The 27,102-nt window shown below is 37.2% G+C and overlaps 1 long non-coding RNA gene across 1 annotated transcript in view; it reads right to left on the minus strand.

Annotated features, from left to right (window-relative positions):
- LOC101928519 (uncharacterized) overlaps nt 1-26,197 on the minus strand; it is a 111,938-nt gene extending 85,741 nt beyond the window's left edge. Inside the window, exons 1-3 of the long non-coding RNA NR_110860.1 lie at nt 25,869-26,197; nt 24,117-24,182; nt 21,550-21,639 (exon numbers count right to left, since the gene is read on the minus strand). This is a non-coding gene — a long non-coding RNA (uncharacterized LOC101928519). The remainder of the gene's footprint in view (nt 1-21,549; nt 21,640-24,116; nt 24,183-25,868) is intronic.
- Nucleotides 26,198-27,102: the final 905 nt, after the last annotated feature.

Below are 27,102 nucleotides of genomic sequence, written 5' to 3' on the forward strand. Positions count from 1 at the left end.
CTGGGCACATTCAGAAGTGAACTGGGAGGCCCAAGCTATCCACTGGAAAACAATCACATCCACAGGGCTGTGTGCTGTGTTTGTGTTTGTAATATAATAATAATCATTATTGCTGTTATTGTTATGATTTTCCAAACTGGCTCGTTTTTATGTATTTCCTATTACCCTCACCCTCATGGATATAGGGAGATAGTTATTGAACATGCCTTAAACTAGGACATCTCATATGTCTTACTACTTGCAATTATTATTTCAGGACCATAAAGAATGCAGCCTCCTTTTCTGTCCAGCAAGATATATTTCAAAGCCAAAGAGAGCCATAACACAATTAAAAGGACTAATTGTTTTAAAAAGTCAAGGTGATGAAGGAGGAAGAGTATTTACTAAGTGATAAACATTTGCTTCTTCACAAAGCCCAGATTTTATGCCTCTAGACATAACATGCCTGTTCTCAGAGTTTTAACAATGCAGCTCTCAAAAGACTTCCCTTTGGTTGTAGGCGATTCACAGATTTTTAGCTTCTTACTCTCTGATTAGGGTTGATGTGCCAGGGAACAATTTTTATTAGGTTTCAACGCATCTGTGGTGCTTAAATAAGAGACTGAAACAGGCACTTGTTCCATGCTGTAGGGTGATAAGTTGCATTAATTTTTATTTTAGGCTGTCTCCAAACATGGCTTTTATAGACTAATAAAAAAGCAATTTTTATAAGTTCACAAAAAACAATGAACACAGTCGAGCATAAATATCTTACAACCAGGGCCAGAGGAACATTATGAACTAAAAAATCTGCTGAAAGAGGCACAAAAAGCACAATTCCTAGATGCTGCATTCTCGAGATAAACTCTCACCTACAAGAAAACGTGTGTAAATGCAAATTTTCACTAGTGTTTCTACCCTGTTCTTACCCTGCTGTATTCTGGAACTCTATTTCCCTACTCTTCACTAATTTATACCCATCATACTCTTTAAGATCAACCTCAAATACTCAGCTTTTTTGGAGTTAATATTACCCATTAATGCCAGTCTTCTTTGGCGTTCCTGTAACACTTACTTTTTAATATTTTGTTTATATCAATCCTTAAGGTGTTGGCTTTTCAAAACTTAACTAGATTGTAAGCTTTTTTTTTTTTTTTTTTTTTTTTTTTTTTTTTTTTTTTTTTGAGACGGAGTCTCGCTCTGTCGCCCAGGCTGGACTGCGGACTGCAGTGGCGCAATCTCGGCTCACTGCAAGCTCCGCTTCCCGGGTTCAACGCCATTCTCCTGCCTCAGCCTCCCCAGTAGCTGGGACTACAGGCGCCCGCCACCGCGCCCGGCTAATTTTTTGTATTTTTAGTAGAGACGGGGTTTCACCTTGTTAGCCAGGATGGTCTCGATCTCCTGACCTCATGATCCACCCGCCTCGGCCTCCCAAAGTGCTGGGATTACAGGCGTGAGCCACCGCGCCCGGCCAAGCTTTTTCATAAATATGGAATTTGTTTTCTTTCTGTAAAAAGAATTCTGCAATAGCATCTAAGACCAATGGTTGATATTTGTTAACTATTTATTGGTACTATAATTTATGTGATGCAAAGGCTATAACCCCGTTAAGTTAACCTCCCAATTCTCCCCTACCATAATAATCCTACGATTCTGGTCTAGGAATCTCATAAAATAAAAAGAATATAAATTCAAGGATTCTATCTTTTCTTTCAATGGATCTTATTAATAATACAGGCCCAGAGCAATTAAAAATATCTTGGATTTAAAGAAAATGTAACCTGTCCACAGATGTTGACCTCAAATTCTAATACTTGCAAGTGTTTTAGCAAAATTCATATGGAACACTAATGCCAGAGCTTGAACCAGGGCAGCCTTAATTTGTTTAGGACTCTGCCTGATTTGTTTTTAACCTCTGAGTCTAGATTCACAGTTGCATTTTTCTATTTTGCTTGCAATGACTGCAGAAAATCATTACTTAGTTGAAAAATTCACATTTCCATATGGTTGTTCAGAATATTCTTGGAAAAATTAAATAGGAAATGTTTCAGTAAAATTACTCTATTGTCATATCTCCGGAAGGATATTTTATATGGGCAGAATCTATCAGGCAATAAAAAATTTAAAGTGTATTTTGAATAGCTACCTTACCAAAGCTATAACCGAAGGTTTTAAAATAGTGGTAGTACTACATTACTATACAATTTAAAATGCATATGTGAAATATATTATCTCAATTAATATTTAATGTATATACCAAAATAATTTTCTCAAAAGCTAAAGAAAAAATTGTCACTTACTCAAACCTTTTGTTTACTTACTGCCAAATGTCTGAATATTTGAAAACTTCCAGATGACTGACAGCAGTTTTGACTTTTGATTCTGCCAGTCTTAGATCACGTGATTACCCTTTCGGTTTAGAATATAAATCATTACTTTTACTACTTCTATAAATTTCATGTTCCAGCCACACTATTAGCCTGACATAAAATTGTTTATTGCTTTGATGCTCCATGCAAAAAAGGCAAATAAACAAAATATCCAGGAACCTTAATATACAACCTGTTACCTTAGATAAAGCATCTTGACTTTCTTAGGCCTGTAAGTCAGTTAAGCCTTCCTAAGGTAGCGCTCAGTGTTAAGGTGCTCATTGTTTTGTTCGCTTATTAGAAAACTAAAAGCAGTACCTAAAATTGAGTTGGGAATATAATATGGATAGGAAAAAACATAGTGTTTTTTCTACTCACACACCCACTTAACACTTCTGTAACCAGGTGCCTGTGGAGTGTTTCCCACACACCAAGCAATGGACACCAGCTGGGTGTCTTCCATTTTAATTCAACACTGTCACAGCTACCTGGAGATTGCATCAGATCCCACAGATTGAGGGCTCAGTCCCAAAAAACTGCCCAAACTTAAGATGCCAGTTGTATGCCCCAGTTTGTGACCTATGCTTCTGACCAACTGGCTATAAATTGGAGTCTCCATGGTCCCCTCCTTTGAGTTCAATTGATTTGCTGTGGTGTCTCATAGAACTCAGAGAAACATTTTATGTTTACCAGTTTATTAATAAAGGATATAATAAAGAATACAGATGAACAGCCAGATGAAGAGATACACAGGGCAAGGTCTGGAAGAGCTTTGAGTGTAGGATTTTCCATACCTGCTGAGTTGGAGTGCGAGCGCCTTCTGGCATGCAAATGTTTTCACTAACCGAGAAGTTCTTTGAAATTAGTCATTTTGGGATTTTATGGAGGCATAATTACATAGATATGATTGATTAAGTCACTGGCATTGGTGAGCAACTCAACCTTCAGCCCCTCTCCTCTCCTCAGAGGTCCAGGGATTGGGGGACAGGAGCTGAAGGTTCCAATCTTCTAATCACATTGTTGGTTTCCTGGCAGCCAGAAAACAAAAGATACTCCTCTCACCCAGGAAATTCCAAGGAATGTAGGAGCTCTGTGCCAGATGCTCCTATCACTCAGAAAATTACAAAGGTCTTAGGAGCTCTGTGTCAGGAACCTGGGTCAAAGACCTAACATTAGAACAAAAAATTATCCTAGCACCCCTATACACAAGGGTTTTAGGAGCTCTGTGTGTCAGGAATCTGGGGCAGAATCCACATATATATTTCTTATTATATAACAATATCTCCAGGTCCTATTTGCTAGGAAACCCATTCTATATGGCACCTTTGTGGTGGGTATATTCTTTCCTGTGAACCCTTTAGTGGAAGTACGTGACAGGTGGGGGAATTGGAGGCTCGTCTATAATTTCTCTACAGGAGGGATTTGGGGTCTAGAATACTTGCTTGAAAGCTGGCTTTACCTAGCAAGAATATCGTTTTACTCAATTTGTTATTATTTTGAGACACTTTGGAAAAATTTCTGGAGATGATAAGAAGAATTGTCCATGTTATTTAAAATGATGCTAGCAGCTGAAACTAATAAGTTCCAAACTGAATGCCTTAACACAATAAAAATTTACTTCTTATTCATATAACATAATGCATATTCCTGGTCAGGTGACTTTTCTCAAGTACCAGGTCAAGCTTTCATCTTCTAAATACCGCCTTAGAGGTATCAGTGATGGCTATGAGATTCTCTGAAAGCACAGCAGTCATGTAGAAGCTCTCCCTCGGAGAGCGTTTCCTCAACCACGCTGTACTATACTTCCTGATTCATAAGTTCATGTCTTTGTAGGGATCAGCAGCTACCAGGGATGACCTTGAAAAGATAGGACTCATTGTGCACGGGAGTTTTATTTCAAACCTTCATAATTGAGGCTTCTCATTTCCTTTTTCTCCTGACTTGATATTGATTTTCTTCATGCCTGAATGAGTTTTTAATCCTGCCAAGGTGGAAGTTCATATTTGCAACTTTTATTTCTTATTTCAAAAGAAAATGAAAGCTAAAAATGTCTGATTAATTTTCAAAAACTAGAAAAGGTTAGTTCTTTCCCACCCCCCATATAGCACAAAAATGAATGTGCTAATTTAGCTGAAATGTTATGAGATATGTACTATTGGGTGGAAACCAAGTATGGAAATTCCATAAACATTTCCCACTGTGATATCTCTTCAGAGACACCTGCTCGCTTCCTACCAAACAGATTACTATTCCAATAATAAAAATGTAAATACATTCAACATCAGTAAAAAGAAATTCACCTACCAATTTTGGGAAGCCTTAGCTCTCTAAGCAAGTTTTATGATCTTTTACAACATCACAGATGACTCCAGTCATGGATCAATACACTATACACATTTGTATATGAAAATAATGGTAACTGCCCAGATTCTATCATTATCTTCAGCTACAAATTTCAGTCTACAGTTACCATTTCATTATAGTTTTAAATGTTCTCCTCTAAACATTTTTAAGCAAACAACTAGCCTCATGAACACTACTGACTCTTAGTGAAATGATTAGTGGAAGGATAATTGCATGTCAGATGTTGTGTAACTTTTTGGGAGCCAGTTTCCCACAGCATTTTAAGTTCTTGGAATTCCATCGATGATGTTCTCACACTATTCATGCTCAAAAATTCACTGGCAACACACATCTGTGTTTACCCTTTCAATCATGATAATGTCCACAATACTTTTCATATTCCTAGAGGATTAAGTAATACCTCCAGAATCTTAGAAGACAAACATGACTTATGTTGGACTTGAAATCATTCTACCATCCATAATAGGAAGAGTCTAAAATTGGAAACCACCTACACACTAGAAGCAAAAGATGTTCATAACTGCCTATTTCTGGCTTAATAGCAAATTAATATAATGAAAAAGATCTGTAATGTAATGACAGAAAACATATAACCCTGGATATGGATCCCATTTCTCGCTCTTCATCTGCAATCCAGATCAATTCTGTCTAAATTGGATAATTTTTTCAATATATGAAATATGCTGTTGTTCATATTGGTACTTTGTTCACAACAACAAATACACATGGAAGCAATCACAGAATGGAGGAAAGTCATCAGTCTTTCCTTATATAGAGTCGAGAAAACTCTTGACTCATCATTACCCTTTCTAAAAAGGTCTTAGGAAAGAAATATAGGTACCATAAGGTCAATTTCCTACAAATCTGGGGTATAATCAGAATTAAAAAAAACAGAAAACTCTTGAAACCAGATGTGCTCAAAGCACTTGCCACCACTCTTATTCCCACTCTCTTGGCCAATATCATTAATTGATCACATTAGTCTTTCCCACTGGGGCCGGATTCAGGCACAGAATCTTGCTCAACGTACAGTGTTAGCTATCAACTACCAATTAACAATTGAGCTAAGTTGTAACTCAGTATGAAAATCTAGTTGTCATTCTTGACATAGACGATCCCTGGGTAAGAACTAGAGAGAGAGAAAAGCTACACAGTCATGACCTTGGAAATCCTCTCTGTAGATTCAAGTGGTCCTATCTACAATAAAAGCTGCTATTTACATTCTTGCTGAGGCTATTTCCTTCTGATATGATTTTGCCTTGGGAGGCTCGTGAAGCTTTTCTGGCAAGCATTATCTGTAATGACCATATGCAGGGTATACAAAATAACAGAGAAAAAAGTTTAACTTTCATTATACCTAGAGTACCCTTTTTCCTCTGTCAAAGTTTCACCAGTGATTAAGCTGTGGCTATACAGGCTGTCAAATGCAGGAACTTCAGCCAAATAGACTGGGCCACCTACCATCATGGTGGGGTCCAAGAAGTACTTTCCAGGGGAAACAGGTCAGGACCACTTTATTTCTTCTCAGTCTTTGAAAAGTAAAATCTCTGTTGGCCCATAGCCATTTGAGCAACTGTTTCACTGAAAATTATTTCTGCATCATAGACAAAACAACACACACACCAAACCACATGGCCAGTAGCTTTTGTACTAATTGTCAGTCTATCTTTTCTTTCTTTCTTTTATTTGCCCTCATTTCCTCACTTAGTTATTTTTAATTTTTAAAAATCACATTGTGTTGTTTTTAGGCAACTTAAATCATCTGTGGAACAAGGGAAGACATAAATACATAAAAATGAATTAATACGTAAATACATCAAAATTTCCTCCACTAGTCTTCTTATACTATGCAATCCACAAATCTACCACTGAAGGCTTCTGAAAATTATTTGTTTTGATTTTGTTCCTATTAGCTAAAAGGATCTGTTTTCCAAATCATCCAAGAGAAGTATGTTAAAGGCATTAAAATATACCTAAGAACAATAACACAATACCACCAATATTGTAAATCTTACGGTGACATTTTATCCACTGGTGCAATGTCCTTTATTTGTACATTTAAGATATTATTGGGCTTTTTTTTTCTACATGAGGAAGCTGGAGCTATTAAAAGTATTCCATGGTTTAACCAACCTTTCGGGAAACATCAGAGGTACAAACAGCTATAAGAAGTTGCTTCGTGTCTCTAGGGGATAATATTCCCCTGAAAGAAGACATTACTTCCTCTCTTTATTTATATCTGTGAAATCTTGCTTTTGACTTGACCAAGCTGAAGAAAATAATGTCTCTCAGGTAACTGATAGACTGTGAAATTAAGTTCAAGAAATCATATCACTTGAAGAAGCAATCTTTATCCCTGACTCTACCTGCCATCACAGGCTTAAAGAAATCTGGCTTTGAACTCATCCATCAGTTCTGTTTCCTCTACTGGTTTTTGCATTTGGTGGAGGAAACTGGTGATTTTTAGATTGACAGAAAAAAAAAAGTTCAACTGAGAACAAAGCTTTCTTACAGGTATTTTTGCTGGCAGTAGTGTCTTTTTCTCCTTTGAGCCCTCAGAGCATTTCCTAGTTTTGCAAATATTTTCCTTTTGAGGCTGTCTTACCAAAGTTGTCAGCAAGATTTATGATAAATGCAATTTGTAATAGACAAGGGCTGTTTCTTTGTATGACATTGGCCAAACATATTGCTCTTGACCTGAGTATTTGTAATTGTTGGTGGTTTCAACTTCAGTGTTGAAATGAACTTGATTTCATGTTAGGGAAGCAGCCTATTGTCTTGTTGACAAGAAGTGGCTTCTTATTCTACACAATAAAATTAAACTCACTATTTATTGTGCCATTATTTATGTGTCAGATGGTTGGTGTATATTCTTCTGAGTCAAATAAAAATAACAGGAGTTTTTATTATAATTATTATCCTTATCAAGTAGTTTTAAAAACAATGTCAAAGTGATTAAATAGCAGTTAAATAGCTGACTGGAAATTAGAACTTAAACCTAGGAAAATCTGAATTCCAATCCTGTATTCTACACCATTCTCCTCCCATCATCAATATTCTCTAAATACATTTCTCCCAGGCTTCAACTTTTTAAAATACAAACTTTATACTAATCACCTTTCATGGATCTCTTGATGATAATCACCTTAGAGTATGTATATTCCTTCCCATTTCAAGGAGAATTGAAAAATGCCAGAATTCATGCAGCGGTACACTGTACTATATTTGGTTTTTTCCAAGTTTGCCATGAACTGTGTTTGGAACATTTAAGTTGTTATCTGAAGTGTTTAATTTCAATGCTGTATTTCAGGAACCAGTGAAAATAAATCAACAAATCTTATGCATTATTTTTCAATATACACACAAAAAATCATTGTCTAATGTGACTAACATATTAATGAGATCAGACATCTTATTTGTGTTTAAGTCATTCTAAACATTTTCTTTTTAATATTCTGTGGGATTTTAAAGATATTTCAGGGAATTTTGCCTCACATCCTTTATTTTAATTTTAATTACTTTTTTTTTTACCATGTCTACCTCCATTTTTTCTTATACTCCATTTTCTTATTGCTCCATTTTTTTGCGTGTATAAAATATTATTTGATTCAATAAGAATGATATGACACTTATACAAGAATGTGTCTGTCAACTGGAAACAAAACTTACCCAATGTAGTTATCATTTTACTTTTCACAGAACAGTTTGGACCTTTAACACTCCCACAAAGCAATAAGTAGATCTATGTGTTGTTTTAGAAATATTTTATTTCTGCTGATTTTTCTTACTCTTTTCCAGGCATATGCAGCAAACGAATAAGTCTATCTAGCTTTCTGGATTCTGAGAATTGTCACCTTTCAGGCCAGTTTCCAATTGTTCATTCACTTCACTAAGAGCTATGTTTAAGTGCCTGTGTGTGTGCCAGGGACCATACTAGGCACTAGGCTATGGCAGTGAAGCAGATAAAGCCATCTGGGTCCTCGAGAGATCACAAGTCAGGAAAGAAGACAAAGAGAACCTATAATCATACATGTGGCGAGGGCTACAAGAGGAGAAGGACTGAGTGTTGTCTGAACCAATAACAGAAGACTTAATGAGCTTGAAAGATTGAAGGATCAGCAGTATCTTCTCTGAAGAGGTGACATTTGTATGAAGAAATAAAGGAATCAGCCAGATGTCAATGGCAGGGGAGGGACATTCAGGCTTTGCAGGCAACAGGAGTCACTTTTGTGAGGAACAGAAGGTAACATAAGAGGCTGACTCCTTTCCTTGCCCCATGTTCATGGCAAGGATTCTGAACATACTTTATGGAAGTTTATTTTTCCAATGTATAAAATGAAACTTTTAGAAAAAAAAGCTTTTACTACCATATTTCCCTCTTCTCATACATTGGTTGTTTTTCAAGTCTTGACAAAGATAAGATGGAGATGAAGCCAGAAGACAATTGTGTGCTATTAGCAAGGAGGTATTAGCAAGGAGCTATTTCAAGGAATCATTATTTTTCCTCACCACAGACATTGTGATAAGTTCTTCTTTTAATTTATAGTTGTTGTAACTCTATGAGATAGCTATTATTTCTATTTTTGCAATGGAGTAAACCGAGGATGGGGGAGGGTAAGTTACTCACTCTGGGTGAATAGAGCTAGAATTTGAAACCAGCTGTCTTTGACTCAAAAGTATAATGCCTCTACAAAGTAGCAAAGGCACAGAGGGGGCTTATCAAGAGCATAATTAGGAACAGTGATCATCCAATTTACGTGAAGTTAAGGAAAGTACACAGGAGATGAGGCTGGAAGGTGCAATGTGATTAGGAAAGTATACAAACAGGTGTAAGGGAAATTCTTGGCTTTCTACTCAGAGCCTAGCTCATTTCCAAATAGGTGTCTTCTCATCATCACCAACCCATGCAAGGAAACCTGACCATCCCCAGCTCAAGGGGCCTTATATTTCTACAGATAATTTAAATTCCCTCAACCGCAATTGATCAACAATATATGGCAAAGTCAATCACCTTTCATCACTCCCCAGCTCACTGGAGTTGTTTTAGGAATGCACAAACAACCAAAATGAAAGGGGAAGTATAAGAGGTTCTCTAAGAAAAAGTTCCATTGATTTTCTTTTTTAAATTTCCTGGAAGAGATGTGAGACCCAGAACTGCAGCAGTCATTTCACCACAATCCTGAAGTGGAAGCCAATCGAGGTGAGAACTCTTAAGTTTTAAAGGAGAACATGAAGAAAATATCAAAAGATGCTTAAGATCTTTGCTCCTGGAATCACCTGGTGACTTCCCATCCTGGCTTTGCCATATACCAGCCGGATGACCATGGGCAAGGTATTTAACTTCTGTAAGCCACCATTCTATGATATGATCCATGTGGATATTGATAAAACCTCATATGGGTTTTGTGAGGATTAAATGAATATATATAGAGAGAGAGAGCTTAGCATCTCACACTCAATAAATGATTGCTTCATTATTAGAACTCAAGCCACAGTGAAATATTTATGTCTCTGATGAAACAGGAAAGTTAATGGCTGTGTTTGAGTTTAAGGATCTTAACAAACATTACCAAATATTTAATATGCTAAGGCATGTTTCAGTATAGATTTTCTGTATTTGGTTTAACCAATTACTTTCGTACTCAGAATCAGAGTCGGGAAATTTAGTATTTCAACAAATCTTTCATAGTTAACAAAAGAGCAAAGGCAGTTCAATGGATAAGAGATAGTCATTTAACAAACGGTTCTAGAACAATTGGACATTCCATATAAAACAATAATCTAGACACAGATTTCAGATATTCCACAGTTTACTGAAAATGGATCATAGATCCAAATGCAAACTGCAAAACTTTAAAAATACCAAAAGATAACAGAAGAAATCTAGGTGACCATGGGTTTGGTGATGAGCTTTTAAATATAACACCAAAAGCAGAATCCATGAAATAAAAAGCTGATACATTGACTTTATTAAAAATAAAAACTTCTTCCCTGCAAAAGACACTGTTAAGGAAATGAGAAGAAAAACACACATTGGGAGAAAATATTTGTAGAACACGTAATTGATAAAGAACTTGTGTTCAAAATATACAAAGAACCCTTACAACTCAGCAGTAAGAAAATAAACAGTCAAATTTTAAAAATGGGCCAAAGATCTCAACTAACACCTCACCAAAGAAGATATATATAGATAGCCTGGCAAATAAGTGTACTAAAAGGTGTTCAACATCATGTCTTCAGGGAATTGCAAATTAAAATAAGATACCACTGCACACCTATTTGAACGAGTAAAATCCCAAAAACACCACCACCAAATGATGGTGAAGTTGTGAAACAACAGAAACTCTCATTTATTGCTGGCAGGAATGAAAAATGGTAGAGCCACCTTGGAAGACAGTTTGGCAGCTTTCTACAAAGCTTACATAGTCTTACTATACAATCCAGCAGTTACGCTTCCAAGGATTTACTCAAGCTGAAAACTTATGTCCAAAAAAAAAAAAAAAGAACCTGCTCATAAATGTTTATAGTAGTTTTATGAGTAGTCTCCAAATACTGTAAGCATTTAAGATGTTCTTCAGTAGAAAAATAAATAAATAAACTGTGGTACATCCATACAATAAAATAGTCAGTGAAAAATGAAAAGGCCATGAGAAGACAGGGAGGAAACTTAAATACACATTACTAAATGAAATAAGCCAGTCAAAAAAGACTGCATACTATATGATTCCAACTGCCTGATATTCTGGAAAAGCCAAAACTCTGGAATAATGAAAAGATCAGTGGTTGCCAGGAGGGAAACAGGAAGAGGGAAGTGGAGAGGAATGAGTAGGTGACATACGATAGATTTTTAGGGTGATAAGCTGTTCTGTATGATACTGTAATAGTGGATGCATGTCTTTATGCATTTGTCAAAACTCATAGAACTGTAAAACACAGAGTAAACCTTACAATAAACTGTAGACTTCAGTTAATAATAATGTATTAATACTGGTTTACAAATTGTAACAAATACACTGCTCCAAAGCAAGATGTTAACTGTGGAAACTGTGTGCAGGAGAGGGGACGGAATATGGGAACTCTCTGTACTATAATCTAAATTTTTCTGTAAATCTAAATTTGTTCTTAAAAAAGGCAATTAATTTTTAAAAATCAATAGCCATATTTAAGGATTTTAACAAATAGTATCATATATTTAATAGAAGAGTCCATGCCTCAGGGTGTATTTTCTATATTTGCTTCTTATTTACTGAGATCCAGAGTCAGTAAATTTATCATTTCTCCAGATTTGGAACAAGGAAGAGAATCAGTTGTGAAACTGATCATGGTATGTAAAATTATTAAACTGCCTCAACTGAAACTGACATACAGCTCAAGTTTTATACTTCACAGCACCTATGATCCAAAAGAAAAAGGGGACTTTCCATGAAATCAGATTAAATAAAGACTTCAGCCTTGGCCCTTTCCTCATTCTAAAGTTCTGCTATCAGCTTCATAAATCACCTAGGTCTAAAGGATGTAAAACAGTGAGCTTCTCTTGATCGTCAGCTGGATCCAAGAACAAGGTACTCAATTTCATGTTCAGAAATCCAAAGAGCCCGAGGAACACATTTCACAGACTTCTACCAGCAAAGGAAGCTTGCATATTTACTCTGCGATTTGGCAATTTGAGTTTATTTCTGTCACAGTAAGATGTTACAGGAGGAGGAGCAAACTACTAGTGGGTTCTCCTTTTGAATCTGGAATGAATTTACTGATGGTTCATCATCTTGGCCCTGAAAAATACTGTTGTAACAATGAAACTATATGTTTTTAAAGTATTTTTAATGGAAATAACATAGATAACCATAAGAATATTTTTAAAAATTAATTTTCATTTTTCTTGCATACCTTTGCATTTACTTTTTATATTCCTAGTAGTGGCAGGAGTATTAATAAAGCAATGATGATTTTTGTCATTATTACTCATTATAGAATCGTTATAGAACCTGGGAGTAAGTCACTTCTTTAACATTTGGGCTGGGATATATAGGGTAGGCGAGTGCCCTTTTTAGCCACAGGCCACCTCAAATCATTGATGAGTAAGAAGAAAGGGTGGTAGATGTGGTGAGTAGAAAACATAGTGGACAGAAGACAGAAAATAAAACATGGCAAGAAAAGGTCAAGGTCAAGTGGCAAAGGAGAAGCACAATTACTATTCTGAAATGTGAGTCAGGGTCATACTACTCTGCCCACCCTCCATCTCTGCCAGAATGAGGACTGTCCATTCCCTGGTAATGTGGGTTCTTGGCCCTCTACCTGCATTGATAAATTCACTATACTTTGCAACGACTATTTTTTTTAATCATGCCAAAATGCAATTCTAAATACGTAATCATAGATACCACTCCCCTCTCCTCAACAACAGGGTCTGGCATTTAAAGGATTTCCTGAACTCAAAGCTATGGCATCAAGCCATAAAACCCTCTGGGTTACTCTCAGCCTATTCTTGTTTGTTTGGCAACAAAATAAGGCAGAATCAAGAAGCTTAGGAAAACTTTTAAGGAGCTGCAGTCTGTGTGGGATGACCACTCACCACTCTCAATCCCTCCTCCCTGGCAACTTCTCATATTTTCTGTAAAGCAGTGATTTTTCAAAGTGAGGTTTCAGGCTACATAAATCAGAGTCAATTGTCTTGCCTAATAAATATACAGATTCCTGGGCTCTAACATCCTAGGCATGGTGTCTAGTTGCCGGCATTTTTGACAAGCATTTCAATTAGGTCTAAAGGAAGAACAGAGTTAGAGGCTAATATGTAAAACAGTGAGCTTCTCTTGATCGTCAGCTGGATCCAAAAACAAGGTACTCAATTTCATGTTCAATGTGAATTAAAGCTTTCTGTAAGTCCTCCTTCCACCCAACTACCTGCCCCAATTTTGCTCTTTGGTGACTGTCAACTGAGCTTTGCAAGGGTATTAAAAATAACCACCATATTCACAGATACTATTTAAAGAAGTAACTCCTCTCAAGGATGTTTGCATTTTTAAGGAGTCTCCAAGAAGTTATAATCTCTTTCTTGATGAGAAGAGAAAAGTGATAATATTAAAGGAAGCTACCTTGTCAATTTGTGTTATGCACAAATGCTCAAATAAGATAATAATCACAACCAACATTAACAACATTATTGCTAATTCCTATCACAAACCATAAGAGAAGTAATATCTCCTTTTCACTCAAGAAATCACTGAGGGTTCTTGTGATAAAATGCTTTGTTCCAAGGCCATACATTTAGTAGATACCTAAGTCAGCCTCATATTAGGTTGTTTGGGCTACATAATTCTGGCTCTTTCTATTAGACTGTAATTCATTCTGAAAAAAAAAAATAATAATAGCTTTTCACAGACAAAATACACGTTAGACACCAGCCTTAGAGAGTTCTGGTGACATCCATTCGGCTAAAGTTGTTGGAACTCTCATTATTTTTATGGACGATTAAAGCATTTTACATGTTTCCAGACATTTCTTTAATAAGGTTTAGCACTACTGGGTTGAAAATATGCCATTTTCATTACTGCCCTGAGATTCTCCCTGTGCCCAACTCTTTTTATTTCTGCTACTTTAGTTTCATTTCTATCACCTTTCAAAAAGCAGCGTGTCTCAAATTATTTATATTTGAGGTTATTTACATTATTTTGAACTAACTCCTAAGAAAGGTTATAGATTTTTAGAGAAGTGTAGGAAGTGTGGGAATTTATTTGTGTAATTCTTGCTTGTTGACTGGGGAATGAATTCCCAGGGTTTATCAACCTGTTCTGTCAGTTTGACATTTAGTTTAAAGTATTTGCCACTCAGATTCTCAAGGTACACAATCTCCTTCCTATGTTCATCTCTTGGATATTTTTGGAGAGGATCTTCTAGGTGTGAATTCTAGATGCATTTTCCCAACTATTTTAGTTTTTTTTTAAATTTTTTTCTAGCAAGAACACAATTCTAAAAGTCAAACTTCCAACATGTGTTTTGGAAACTTAGGTAGCAATTTATTAAAACCAAACATTAGTTTTACTCAAAGACATGACTCGAAGGCTTTGGAATTATTCTGAACTTGTAGGTACTCTCGAAGAAGCTACATGGAGAGAGGCCATCATTCATTTGCTCTGAATAAGAGAAATCAATGGTGAATATAAAGCACATATGATGATCTGCCTTGGTGCATTCATTGCATTTGATGATCCTGGGTGTACTTGTTTCGGAGGCATTGCTCTTTACTCTCTGTTCTTCTGTGTTATCAGAGGAAGAGCAGGTACCAAGGATTTTCCTTTCTATCAGCCACACTTTGGCTGTGTTTGGTCAATGGTAGACACAGGCAGAAGCTTGTGGGAGGTGAGGGGTAAGGAGCGAAGAAACCCAGTATTTCTTTCTCTTCTTCTCTGCCAGCAGACTTTTAGACACTGGTTTTGTACTCTCTACAGGGCCAGCTCCTTCATATCTTTCATATCCAGCACCTTCATAATCTCCGCATTGCCACTTCCAGCAGGACACGTCTGCTATGCTTCCGGCTTCCACTCAGTAACCCCAGCCCCTATGCCAGGGAACACTACCTCCTTCCTTTATCTCTCCAGCCTCATACTAGGAGTGGTTTCCTGCTGTTTAAATATCTTAGATTACTCTATTGTGTCTTATTTGCATTTTAAATTCCTCCATCACCTGTATAACCAATTCTCTAAGTGTAGGTACCGGAACTGGTTTGTATTTTTCTAGTTAAACTCTGACTTATATATCTCTATGCACATGTAATTTATCTTGGTGTTAATAATGTTTTTTATTTCAGTGCATTGTAATGGCAACATAGAGGAGTGTGGGGAAATTACAACAACTCTATTACCCAAATGTTGATCTATAATCAATTATTAAGTATGTGCCATTATGTGTGTTTTAATAGAAGAATGTATGTTTTGCTGAAAGAATTTTTTTTACTTGCCATGCTAATCCTTCAGCAACCCTTTCTATTTCTACTTAAGGGAAAGCTTTTGGAAGAAAATAACACGCCAATTTTGGGGTTATTTTCTGCTCAAAATTTTATTTCAGGTACATTACAGATTATAATTTTTTAAATATATTTTAAATTTTAAGCCAGCAGAAATACAGACACCTATGAAATGTTTTCATGGCAGCATCAATTTAAAATTTAAACTAGTACATAAAACCTCTTCACCTACATTCAAAAAATTAATTACTAGTATATTTTGTGAATTTGTACACAGTACAAAAGAAGGTCAAATTTACTTTTACCACATGCAGTTTAAATGTTTAAAAAGGCTAACAAGAGACTCCCAAAGCTTGGTTGGACACTCCTCTCTTAGCCAGAAATACTACTAGTGGGGAAAGCCATTCCTAGCTCTGGTCCCAAATTGTTATCAAACAATGCTGGTTTTCTCCAAATCCTGCTTCTTAAAATTCGTGTTTACACAACTCAGCTGTATTTATAGCTTCCATTACAGACAGATGAAGCCATGTGTCTGAATTTTGACCCGTGGAATGTTGGAGAAAGTATGCCCCTTTTAGTCCTGACCCCTAGAAGCTTCCTGAAATAGTCTCCACTTGTGCTTTTCTTTCATTTTGCCCAAAGCAAAGAATATAATTGGAGAACCGGAGTTCTTAAAGATGGCAAGCTACAAGCTAGAGCTAGGTTCCCAAATGACTGTGTGAAACAGAGTACAGCCCCTCTACTAGCCTCCAAAGGCTGATATGCATGAGATGCTAATGTGTTGGAAAAATTTGCTTTTACTATGTTAAAACACTGAGATTTTAGGATTAGAGTAGCAAGTATTTACCTTCATTAGTGCACAGATAAATTATGCACTGACAGAACAAAATTTCAGAGATATACTGCTAATCTGAGATGTAAATTTCTCCTTTTGGATTCATTTTACTAATTCTTCCATCTTTTCCTCTCCTCTTCCTTCTCATAATTTCCCTGTGTTCATTTTAATATGGAAAAATAACCTCTGTTGAAATATAAATTTAGGAGGGAATGCTGCCAAAGGCTTATCTTATGGAGTGCCTTGAGAATTTCACTTGTATTTTATTTTTCATTGCTATAGCAAGAAACCTTTTTGTTAGGCTTTTGAGGGGTGAAACATCAACAGCAAATAACAGGGATTTGCCCCACCTGTTCTCCAAGCTGGACAAAGAACTCACTCTATATTTCTAGCAACTGGGTCTTTCTAAAATAGGCCATCAATCTCTTCTAGAAAGGATAATCTGCTCCTTTGCAGGAGAAAAGGCATGAAGGATGTCTTTTAATGAGAACCTTAAACAAATATCAAGGGTTGGCAGGACCATGAGGACAAGGCAGGAAAAAGAACAAATAAATGGTTCAGGATATCTGATGACGTTCTAAGGTCAGAGTCATGCTGGAGTCCGTGAACCAAATGAAGCATGCAGGAGGGACTCCATGTTAAGTGCTTAGGACCAGTGCATGGAGTAGGGAACCTGTCTCATACTCATTCTCATGCTTCCCTGTTAGTTGACCAACCACTATTTAAGGACTCACCTCTGATGCCCCAAGACAACTGCACACCTAATGGAGTAGTGAAGGCACAAAATAACCAGTGTTTTGTGAGACTGATAAATCTGTGCCAGTGAGTCTTGAATCTAGATCAGATGGGAGTGGATGCTCCATTACTTAAAAATTGTATGCAGCTTTATGCTAGGCATGGACATGCTACATTCTTATTCATTTCCACCCTTCAATATTCTTAACTGATATGGCTTTGTGTAGATTATCCCAAGTAAAATAGGGAACTCAGGGGCTTTAATAATGCAGCTGCCACTTGGATCAAAACTTTTATAGTTAGTATAAGTTTACCTCCTCTTCTGTGTGGCTTCTTAGATCATGCTGGCTTCAGAATGGCGTCCTCGGAGAGTAGAAAGAACAACATCTTCGGAGTAAAAAATCTCTCTATCTGGTCATTGGGAAATCAACATATCCTTCTTTGAATTTTTCTTCTTCTTTGGGCTACTTACATCATGGAGCTGTGACCCGGTTGAAGTGATCTATGTGAGTGCATCTAGCATGTTGCCTGGCACATGGCAGGAACTCGGGAAATCTAGAGATACTATGCAAGCATAGTTTCCACAAGTAAATGGACGTTTATATTTCTGTATCCAGGGAAACCCAAGGATAACATCTATTTTTCCTAATAAAGGTATAGCCATGCTATTTCCCTCATATCTGCTTGAGCATTTGACTTTCTTCTCTTCATAGTTCCTTTGGGCCTGAAAGCTCCAATAGTAGAAGGGGGATGCAGGACATAGGAAATAAAGGCAGTCATTTTCCTTGGTACGATGAACACCCCACACTTCACACCTTGTCCCAGTACTAGCCCCAGAATGGCAAGGATTTAATTGACCAACTTCTGATCCAGGAACAGCCATTATCTCCTTGAATTTTTACAATCCCAAGGAAAAGGGATTCGAATCTTCATTTGAGAGATGAAGTCTCTGAGTATCAGAGCATAACGTTACTTGACCAACCTCATATAGCAAATCAGAACTTTATCTGGAATTTACAACAAGGACTTTGTTTATCATTTGACTTACATAGTTGATGTAATTTTCTCATTTTCCAAAATACTTTTCTGCTGTAGTAGCAAAGGCAAGCAGAGAGATGGATTTTCTTCCTCCTCCCACATCCCCACCTTGTTCTTTTTGTATCACTGACAGAAAACCAGAACATTATCTTTGTGACACTAGAAGACTTGCAACTCTCTGACACTGAAAGAAACTGAAGCCAGTGCCAGTTTTCCTTATCTTGGTTCAATAATTCCATCCTCAGAGCTATTCACTGCCACTGGCCATCGGAGCTCCTCTGCTTCTACAGAAGAATGACCTCTCATTGCACAGTTACCTTCATCCCAAAACACCAGAGTAATTTCCAGTTAGGATAGTGAATCGTGACCAAGATGTAAATACTAATATGTCAAATCTAAATAACAGCTTCACTGAAGATAAGCATTCTACCTATTTTTCAAAACTTTGGAGTTATTATTCAAAGACCACTACAGTTTATGAACACTTCAGTCTGCCTTATAAGCTATTGGATGAAAAGACACAAAGATGTCCAAATCAAATTTTTTTGTCCCTGGGGACATAATACAAGATAGGGTACACGTAGTGGTCAGAGGAGAGGAATGAACAGTAAGTAAGTATATGAGTAAGTAAGTAAGTACATGAGGTGATGGGAAAGTCTTCCTGAAAGAAGTGAAAACTGAGAAGTGATTGGGATTTGAAAATACAAGAAGGGGCCAGGCGCAGTGGCTCACGCCTGTAATCCCAGCACTTTGGGAGGCCAAGGCAGGCGGATCACGAGGTCAGGAGATCGAGACCATCCTAGCTAACACGGTGAAACCCCGTCTCTAATAAAATACAAAAAAAAATTAGCCGGGCATGGTGGCAGGCGCCTGTAGTCCCAGCCGCCTGTAGTCCCAGCTACTTGCTACTCGGGAGGCTGAGGCAGGAGAATGGCGTGAACCTGGGAGGCGGAGCTTGCAGTGAGCCGAGATGGCGCCACTGCACTCCAGCCTGGGCGACAGAGCGAAACTCTGTCTCAAAAAAAAAAAAAAAAAAAAAAAAAAGAAAGAAAAGAAAACACAAGAAGGGTTAAAAAAAGAATGATCTAGACCTGGAAGAAGAGGATAAACAAAAGCATAGATGAAAAATATGTGCAAGGAATGGTATAGACATTAAGAAAACAAATTTCACCAGAGAATTAAATTGTGAAGAAAGAAAAAAAATAAGTTCATAAGTTACTTTCAGAAGCTTGTACCATGTGGAGTGTTATAGAACAGGACAGGACAATTGGACTTTATCCAATTGACACTGGGGAGTTTCTAGGGGGTTGAAGTAAGAGGCCATGATGTAAGGGATGTTTAAAATAGATTAAAAGGTCAAACAAAGTTAAATGAAAAGAGCAAATTCTAGTATTTGATACTACAATAGAACAATTATAGTTTATAATTTAATGTATGTTTCAAAATAGCTAGAAAATAAATATTGCAACGTTCTCAACCGAAAAAAAAGATAAATGCTTGAGGTGATAGATGCCCCAATTACCCTGAATTGATCATTGCACATTGTATACAGATATCAAAATACCACATATATCCAAAAAGATGTACAACTATAATATAATATATCAATGAAAAAAATATAAAAATAAGTGATCCCCACCCCTGGAAAAAAGTTCAAGGGGGGAGGTTATTCAGGGTAGAAAAACAATTGTTAGAAATAATTCAATTGTCCAATAAAAATCGTTGGATACCTGGAAAAAAAAAAGGAATGAAAGAGTAAAAACAACACATATCAAAAAACAACATAGTTGGATCTAAAATAGTAGAAAGAAACATCACCTGGAATAAATGGCTGAAGGATTTTGCCAGTGGTTCTCAAACTTGAGTATGTGTCAGAATTTTCTGAAGAGTTTGTTAAAACACAGATTTCTGGGTTTGAACTCCAGAGTCTGTCCTTATGGTATAGAATGACAGGCAGGCCAGGCGCAGTGGCTCACACCTGTAATCCCAGCACTCTGGGAGGCTGAGGAAGGCAGATCACTTGAGATCAGGAGTTTGAGACCAGCCTGGCCAACATGGGGTACAACCCTGTCTCTACTAAAAATACAAAAATTAGTCGGGCATGGTGGCACATGCCTGTAGTCCCAGCTACTTGGGAGGCTGAGGCAGAAGAATGGCTTGAACCCTGGAGGGGGAGGTTGCAGTGAGCTGAGATCACGCCATTGCACTCCAGTCTGGGTGACAGAGCGAGACTCAATCTCAAAAAAAAAAAAAAATCAGGGCAGAGACATTCTTAAGAGTCCCTAGAAGGTGGGATTATGTACCTGATGCTCAACGTCGAGCACCATATTGTATACATTTCATTTCCCATGGTCAGAGTAGGTGGGCAGTAAAGGCAGGAGATATTGTATTCCTGCATATTAAATCTCACTTGTCATTTGAACATATAATACCATAAACATGTTTCTTTTCCCAAACACCAATAGCTGCACCCAGGCTCTATTTCTGAGGCCAGAACAACAATTTAACAATCACATCACCCAGCAGTGATATGCTATGCATTTTCTGAAATTATCCAAAATGAGAACTCCTGGGATCCATAACTCAGCTCTCCCCTTCCCACATGTGCATGATTTCCTTCACCTCCTATTATGCTCTTTGGACCTGTAGTCACGCAAATGACATAAATGAACAGCTGCATTCAGCCAACCAGATGGTCACATGTGGGAAGAGATGGGATGGAGACAATAGAAGTAATAGCCTATAAAGTAAGTTAGTGCTACTGAAATTCTACTTTTTTTTCTATTAAAACCGAGTGGAAGGTTAATTATTTCCATCCGTATTCAGTTAACAGAGGGAATTAATCTCAAAGGCACAGTAAGAAATTTTCAGCAAAATTTCACAACTGCTTATCCCAAAATAGGAGAGGAGAGTGATTGAATGTTTGTTGGAAAGCATGATGGAAGCAATGAACAGGCTTATGTAAAACTCTGCTTGCTTGAGATATATAGCTAAATTGGTAGGTGGTTGGGGAAGAGAACAAGAAAGGAATCCATTCACTTTTTTGAATTAATATTGAACCCTGATGAAACAAAGGATGGTCTTTTGCTTCCTAGGTGCTGTTCTTCTCTAAAATCCAAGCTATTTGAAATGACGATATAAACTTTTCTCAGTTCACAACAAAATGTATGTTTAACATGGGTCACATTTAAAGATGCTATGGACACTCATATTTTGTAGACATAGGAATATTTATAATCTTTCTAAATTTTTCATAATCATGTTTTTACCTTTCTCTTTCAAAAAGTCCTTTCTCGGAGCAGGTTATATGTATATAACAATCCTCATTCATAATAGCACATTTAGTCATATTTCTATATCTGTGGAGAGAGAGAAATGTGTTCTTATTGTGATGGGTACTACTGCTTTGCAATTTATAGATTTACTTGCCGAAGAACCATAAAGCTTATAAATGGCAATTAAAACTCCGGATGAGGGTATTTTACCCATACCTTCATTAATATAAAAAACAATATTGTTCTATTGACTCTGTATTCTTTACAGAAGCCTCTAGGGCCCAGATCTTTTGTAAGTAGTTACATAAAATAAAAAGAATGTTATATTCCATTGTATATTAGTACTTAAAAAATAATGAGACACAGGACATAAACCCATTTTATTTTTTTTTGCAGTTCTATTAAAAAATAAACATTTGACTTCATTATTAGAAATCAAAAGAAAATATTTTCAGTAAAATTAACTGAATAATAAAACTGTGAAAAAATTTAAAATATGAAAAAAAGAGAGGCTGGATGCAGTGGCTCATGTTTTTAACCCCAACACTTTGGGAGGCTGAGGCAGACAGATTGCTTGACCCCAGGAGTTCAAGACCAGCCTGGGCAATATGGTAAAACTCCATTTCTATAAAAAATACAAAAAATTAGCCAGGCATGGTGGCACATACCTGTAGTCCCAGCTACTCGGGAGGCTGAGGTAGGAGGTTCACTTGAGCCCGGGGAGGTCAAGGCTGCAGTGAGCCATAATCATGCTACTGCACTTCAGCCTGGGTGACAGTGTGAGATCCTGTCCCCAGCCCACCCCACCCCAAAAAAGGACAAGAACCAAATGCTTAACCTTGATTTTATTACATATAAATATTTTGATTTTTTTTCTGGTTATAAAAGTGAAGCATGCATATTTGTAGACAACTTGGTAAAGAGCCAAGCGTATAAAGAAAAAAATTTTTTAAAAAACCATTATTCTAAGGAAAATCAGTATTAATATTTTGCTATATTTTTTCTAGTCACTTCTTTGTACATTAAACATATATATAGTTATATATGTATGTACTAAAAATATCCTATATTTGAAATAGTCAATGCTCCTTTGAAAAATGCACTATTATATATTATTCCCTTTTCCATAATATTTACATTTTTCAGTCACAGAGTATGAATTATTCCCTAATCTAAAGTCATATATATCAATATGAAATTTAGTTGCTACTAATAATGATGTGATAAACTTATCTCCTATTATTGGACTTCTCCTATATTTTTGCACTGTGATGAGGTGGACAGAAATTTGGCAAGCAACTAAGCAGCCAGAGCTAAACTGGACTTTTTAGTTGATTTTATAGAGGATGGAAGAGTCAAGCATTCATTCATTCAAATAGTTTTTAATAAATACTTTTTTTAGGCACCATTCTATGGGGGATATTTCAGTAGACAAAACATATAAAAGTCTCTGGCTTCATTAAGCTTGGATCCCAGTGTTGCCATTTATTAAGATAGAGAAAAGTCAAATAGAAAGTGTTTTGTGGGTTTTAGGTGGGAGGTTGGAGTTGTGAAAAATTCTGCTTCGAACACATTGAGTTTGAGGTGCCCCTGAGGTATCCAACTGAAGGAGCTCAGAAAATAAGTCTGGGCTAGAGATATTGGTTTGGGACTTGTCAGCATACAGATGGGAATTAATACCATGAGAATAGATATAATCATCCAGAGAAAAAGGCTGACCGAGAACTACTGAGAATGTAGGACTTACACCCATGGAGCACCAACATTTTAAAAAGAGATATTTGCAAAGAATATGAGAAGAGAAAAGAGGGAAATGAGACTCCTAAAGTTATGGAGACAAGGAGCCAAGATGAGGAGTGGGTGTATTGGCAGAAAAAAAAAGAAAAGAAAAGAGAGAGTGGTAACATTTTTTTGAGAAATCAATAAATATAAAGACTAAGTGCACATTTAGAAACATGAAGTTCATTACTAACAGGGATTAGAAATACAACCCTACTCTGAAGGCTATATACTTCTCTGCCATCTTTCCTCCATAGTTCTCACTTCGTTTTAGCCACTTCCTTCTGTGGCCATACCTTGTAATTTGTTCTTTTTGCTGTGCCGCTCCTGAAATCAGATATTATAGTCTGAGATCATCAGCATCATTTCTCCCATTTCACTCCCTCAAATGCTTCCAATACACAAATGTATTTGACATTACACCCCTTGAAGCACCAATCTCTTTTCTTTGTATCCATTAGCATTTTCTGTTCTACAGTCCAACACTCTCCCAAGAACATTGATCAACCTTTACCCAATAAACCAGGAATACCTTAGGGGCAATGGTCATGTGACAATACTCTTGCACTTGTGAACAAATGGAAATGGGAGATTCAGCATAAAAACAAGATGCATTCGTTTAAGACTTTTGTTTTAATAAGTGGGAGATGAGTTTTAGCAATCTCTTAACAGCAAAACCCAGTAGGAGGCACTGCTACAATTCCATAGTGGATTTAATTGAATACTGATTAGAAACTCTCAACTCTTTTGTGATGTCCATTAAAAAAAGCCCATCCAAGTACCTGATATTATCACTTATCCAATGAATTCATGTCATTTAGAAATTTCCTGGAGGAGACTGGTTGGACCTATGGAAGACAGAATGACTGGGCTAAATGGCTTTTGTCTTGGTTTGGGTTCCCTCAAAATCATGGGATAAGGGTTCATGTGCAGTGGTTTATTGATATGTGATACCACGGGGGAGGGGGGGCGGTGGGAAACAGTAAGGAAAAAGGGAGTGGAACAGGAAAAGAAAGGCAGCCAGTTATATGCCAATTAACCCTTTGAGTAACTGGAGCTTAATCCTGCAGGATTCATTGTAGAATATGCGACTCAGAGTTACCTCTACTTCCCACTAATCCCCAGGTAGGAGCTGGAGTATTTGTACCTACTAATAATGATCCTCAGTTAGCACAGTGCCCTTGTGGGAAGAAACACAGAAAACCCTCAGGAAGGAAGTCCTGCGTTACAATATGAAAGCAGCCTCTGCTCCAGCCTGTTCTGATGCCCTCTTCTCCAAAGATGCCCTGATAGCTCTAACATTCTATCTCCAAGGTATAGGATTCTGTAGAAATGTATGGACCCCTACTTGGGGAAAGGATTTTGTTTAAAAATTGTTTTATAGATTTGAAGAATTATATTCAAAGCATTTCTATTTATTATTCAGGAGACTCTTTTTTGATTGAATTTCATTTAAATAAACCAGTATGGGAAATGTCTGGTTTGTCTAATCATATAACCCAGTAGAAAGAGATAGTTCCACAATGCACAGATGGCTCAATAAGCCCTAACTTGAAGGAAAGTTCGATCTTGTTCTCCTAATTTTATTCTTCTTACCTTTCTCCTTAGTCAACATAGGCTGGCTTCATTTCAGCATGCAAATTAATCTCCAAATCCCAATGCCTTACCCACAACAAAGGGTTATTTTTCAATCATACTGTATGTCTACATAGTGGCACCATAAACATCTCTGCTCCACATTGTCATTCAAGGACCCAGGCTAACAGAGAGTTCATCTTCTCATAGCTACACCTCATGCAAGAGGCAGCCTCTTTTGTCACCGCAGTAAGGGAAAGAAGTATGAAGAATGTTGGATATAAAAATGCTCTAGGAATAAATGCTCAGTGACACAAAGTAAAACCAGCACTCAGGCAAAAGTTTAATTCTCTCAGCAAGGCAATTTACTTCTGCAGAAGGGTGCTACCTGCATTAATCAAGATTGCAAGAGCACAGAGAACAAAGAAGACCAGGGGTTTTTTATCCTTAATGCAGTCCCTATCTCTGTGTGACTCCCCCATGGGCTGGGGTTGGACCGCACAATCTGAGCTGACCCGATTGGCTACTTGTACATATTTTCCTAAATATAGAAGGGAAGGGGGACGTGAGGTACAGAGGTGGTGCATGTGAGACATGCAGTTTCGGGGGAACAATGGGTACAGGTAACCAAGGGAACAGATGTGAGTTATTGATTAGAGCTGATGGGAAGCGGGTAGGCTGTTTATGGTAACTAGGGGCAAGGAAGAATAAGAAAGTTGAGTTTGAGAACAAAGGATAAGGAAGTTAACTGGCTAAACTCTTTGAATATAAACTCAGAAAGATTTATTGTATCTTACAAGAATCACATGAGTTTTCACTGTCTCAATTCAATAATGACAAATCATGTCTGCCCACATTGGCCAGAACTATTTACATTGCAAAACCTAGCTGCAAGGTGCTGAGGAATGTAGGGTACAAAGAGTATAGATGATAAGCATTATTGTTTCAGCCATACCTACCAAATAGAAAAGACTTCAAAGATCATCCAGGCCAAAGATTTTCCAGTTGTGCATGCCAGGAGCTCTATTGCTCCCAGCATTCATTAGGGATTCTTGAAGGTGAAAAAGTTATTCTGCCCCCTCCCGCATGTTAATCAGAAAAGCTTTTCTTCATTTTTCCCCCATATTGATGTTCCTTATACAATTTTGTTTGAAGAAAGGATTTTGTTGCTTTTTTAAAAAAACATACTTTTGGACTACGCCAAATGTAGTCTAACTTTTTCATTTTAAAGGTAAGAAAAATAAAGCCCCAGTGATATATCTTTTTTAAGGTCATGCAGCTGGTTAGTAGAAAACGTTGTATCAGAACGTTGCTAGGACATTGTCTACGATGACGTCATGCCTCTACAATCTCCTCATTGTTGGGAAAACCTGTTTCTAAGAAGTTTGTCAGGAGTATCTGGAAAAGCTTAAGCCCAATGTGATTTGAAAAAAGAAAAAAAAATGAAAGAAGAAAACAATCGAGACAGAGGCACATGGCGGGAGGGAACAAGCTTTGGCAAAGTGAAAAACGGGATAAAGAAGGAGTCAGAGAGAAGCGCAGGAGGTGTGAAAAGGCTGTGAGCCCAGATGAGAGAGCCACGCTGTCTAGACTCCAGATGTGAGTACATGGTTTCAGTGAGTCCAGCTCTGGACTCTGTAAACACTTTCCCCAGATGTCGTGGCTGAGCTACAAATCCTTGGACGGGTGACAGAATTGGCTGTTGTTCTGTTCAGTGTGTGACTGGTCATGCTGCAGGCTGCTCTGAGGTTACAACACCAGATAACAAGACTGCCTTACAATCAGTCTTGGATGACCTTGAAGAAGTGAGGCATAGCACTGAGCCCTCTTGAGTGCCTCCAGAGACAAGTCGGTAGAGCCCAGGCTCTCAGGTATAGCCACCCACCCAACCTGGCTGGAGATCAACCTGACCCCCAAAAGGCAAAATAATAGTGAGAAGCTGAGTAAATAAAGTAGAAATAGGCTACTGTTTGCTAGCAACAGCATTTTGGGTAAATTGCCATATCTTTCTGGGATTCTCTTTCCTCTGAGGGATTTAATCAAATGGTTTCTAAGTTCCATTTGAACATTGACACTATATAATCCTATAAAATGACACCATGAAGAAAGGATAAACAAGAAAGTCATGTCTCTTCCAAGATTTTATGATAGAACATAAAAAAGCAAAACATTCTGCTTTGTTAAACAAACTTG

This window comes from Homo sapiens, chromosome 6, assembly GCF_000001405.40.
Source record: "Homo sapiens chromosome 6, GRCh38.p14 Primary Assembly".
NCBI lineage: Eukaryota > Metazoa > Chordata > Mammalia > Primates > Hominidae > Homo > Homo sapiens.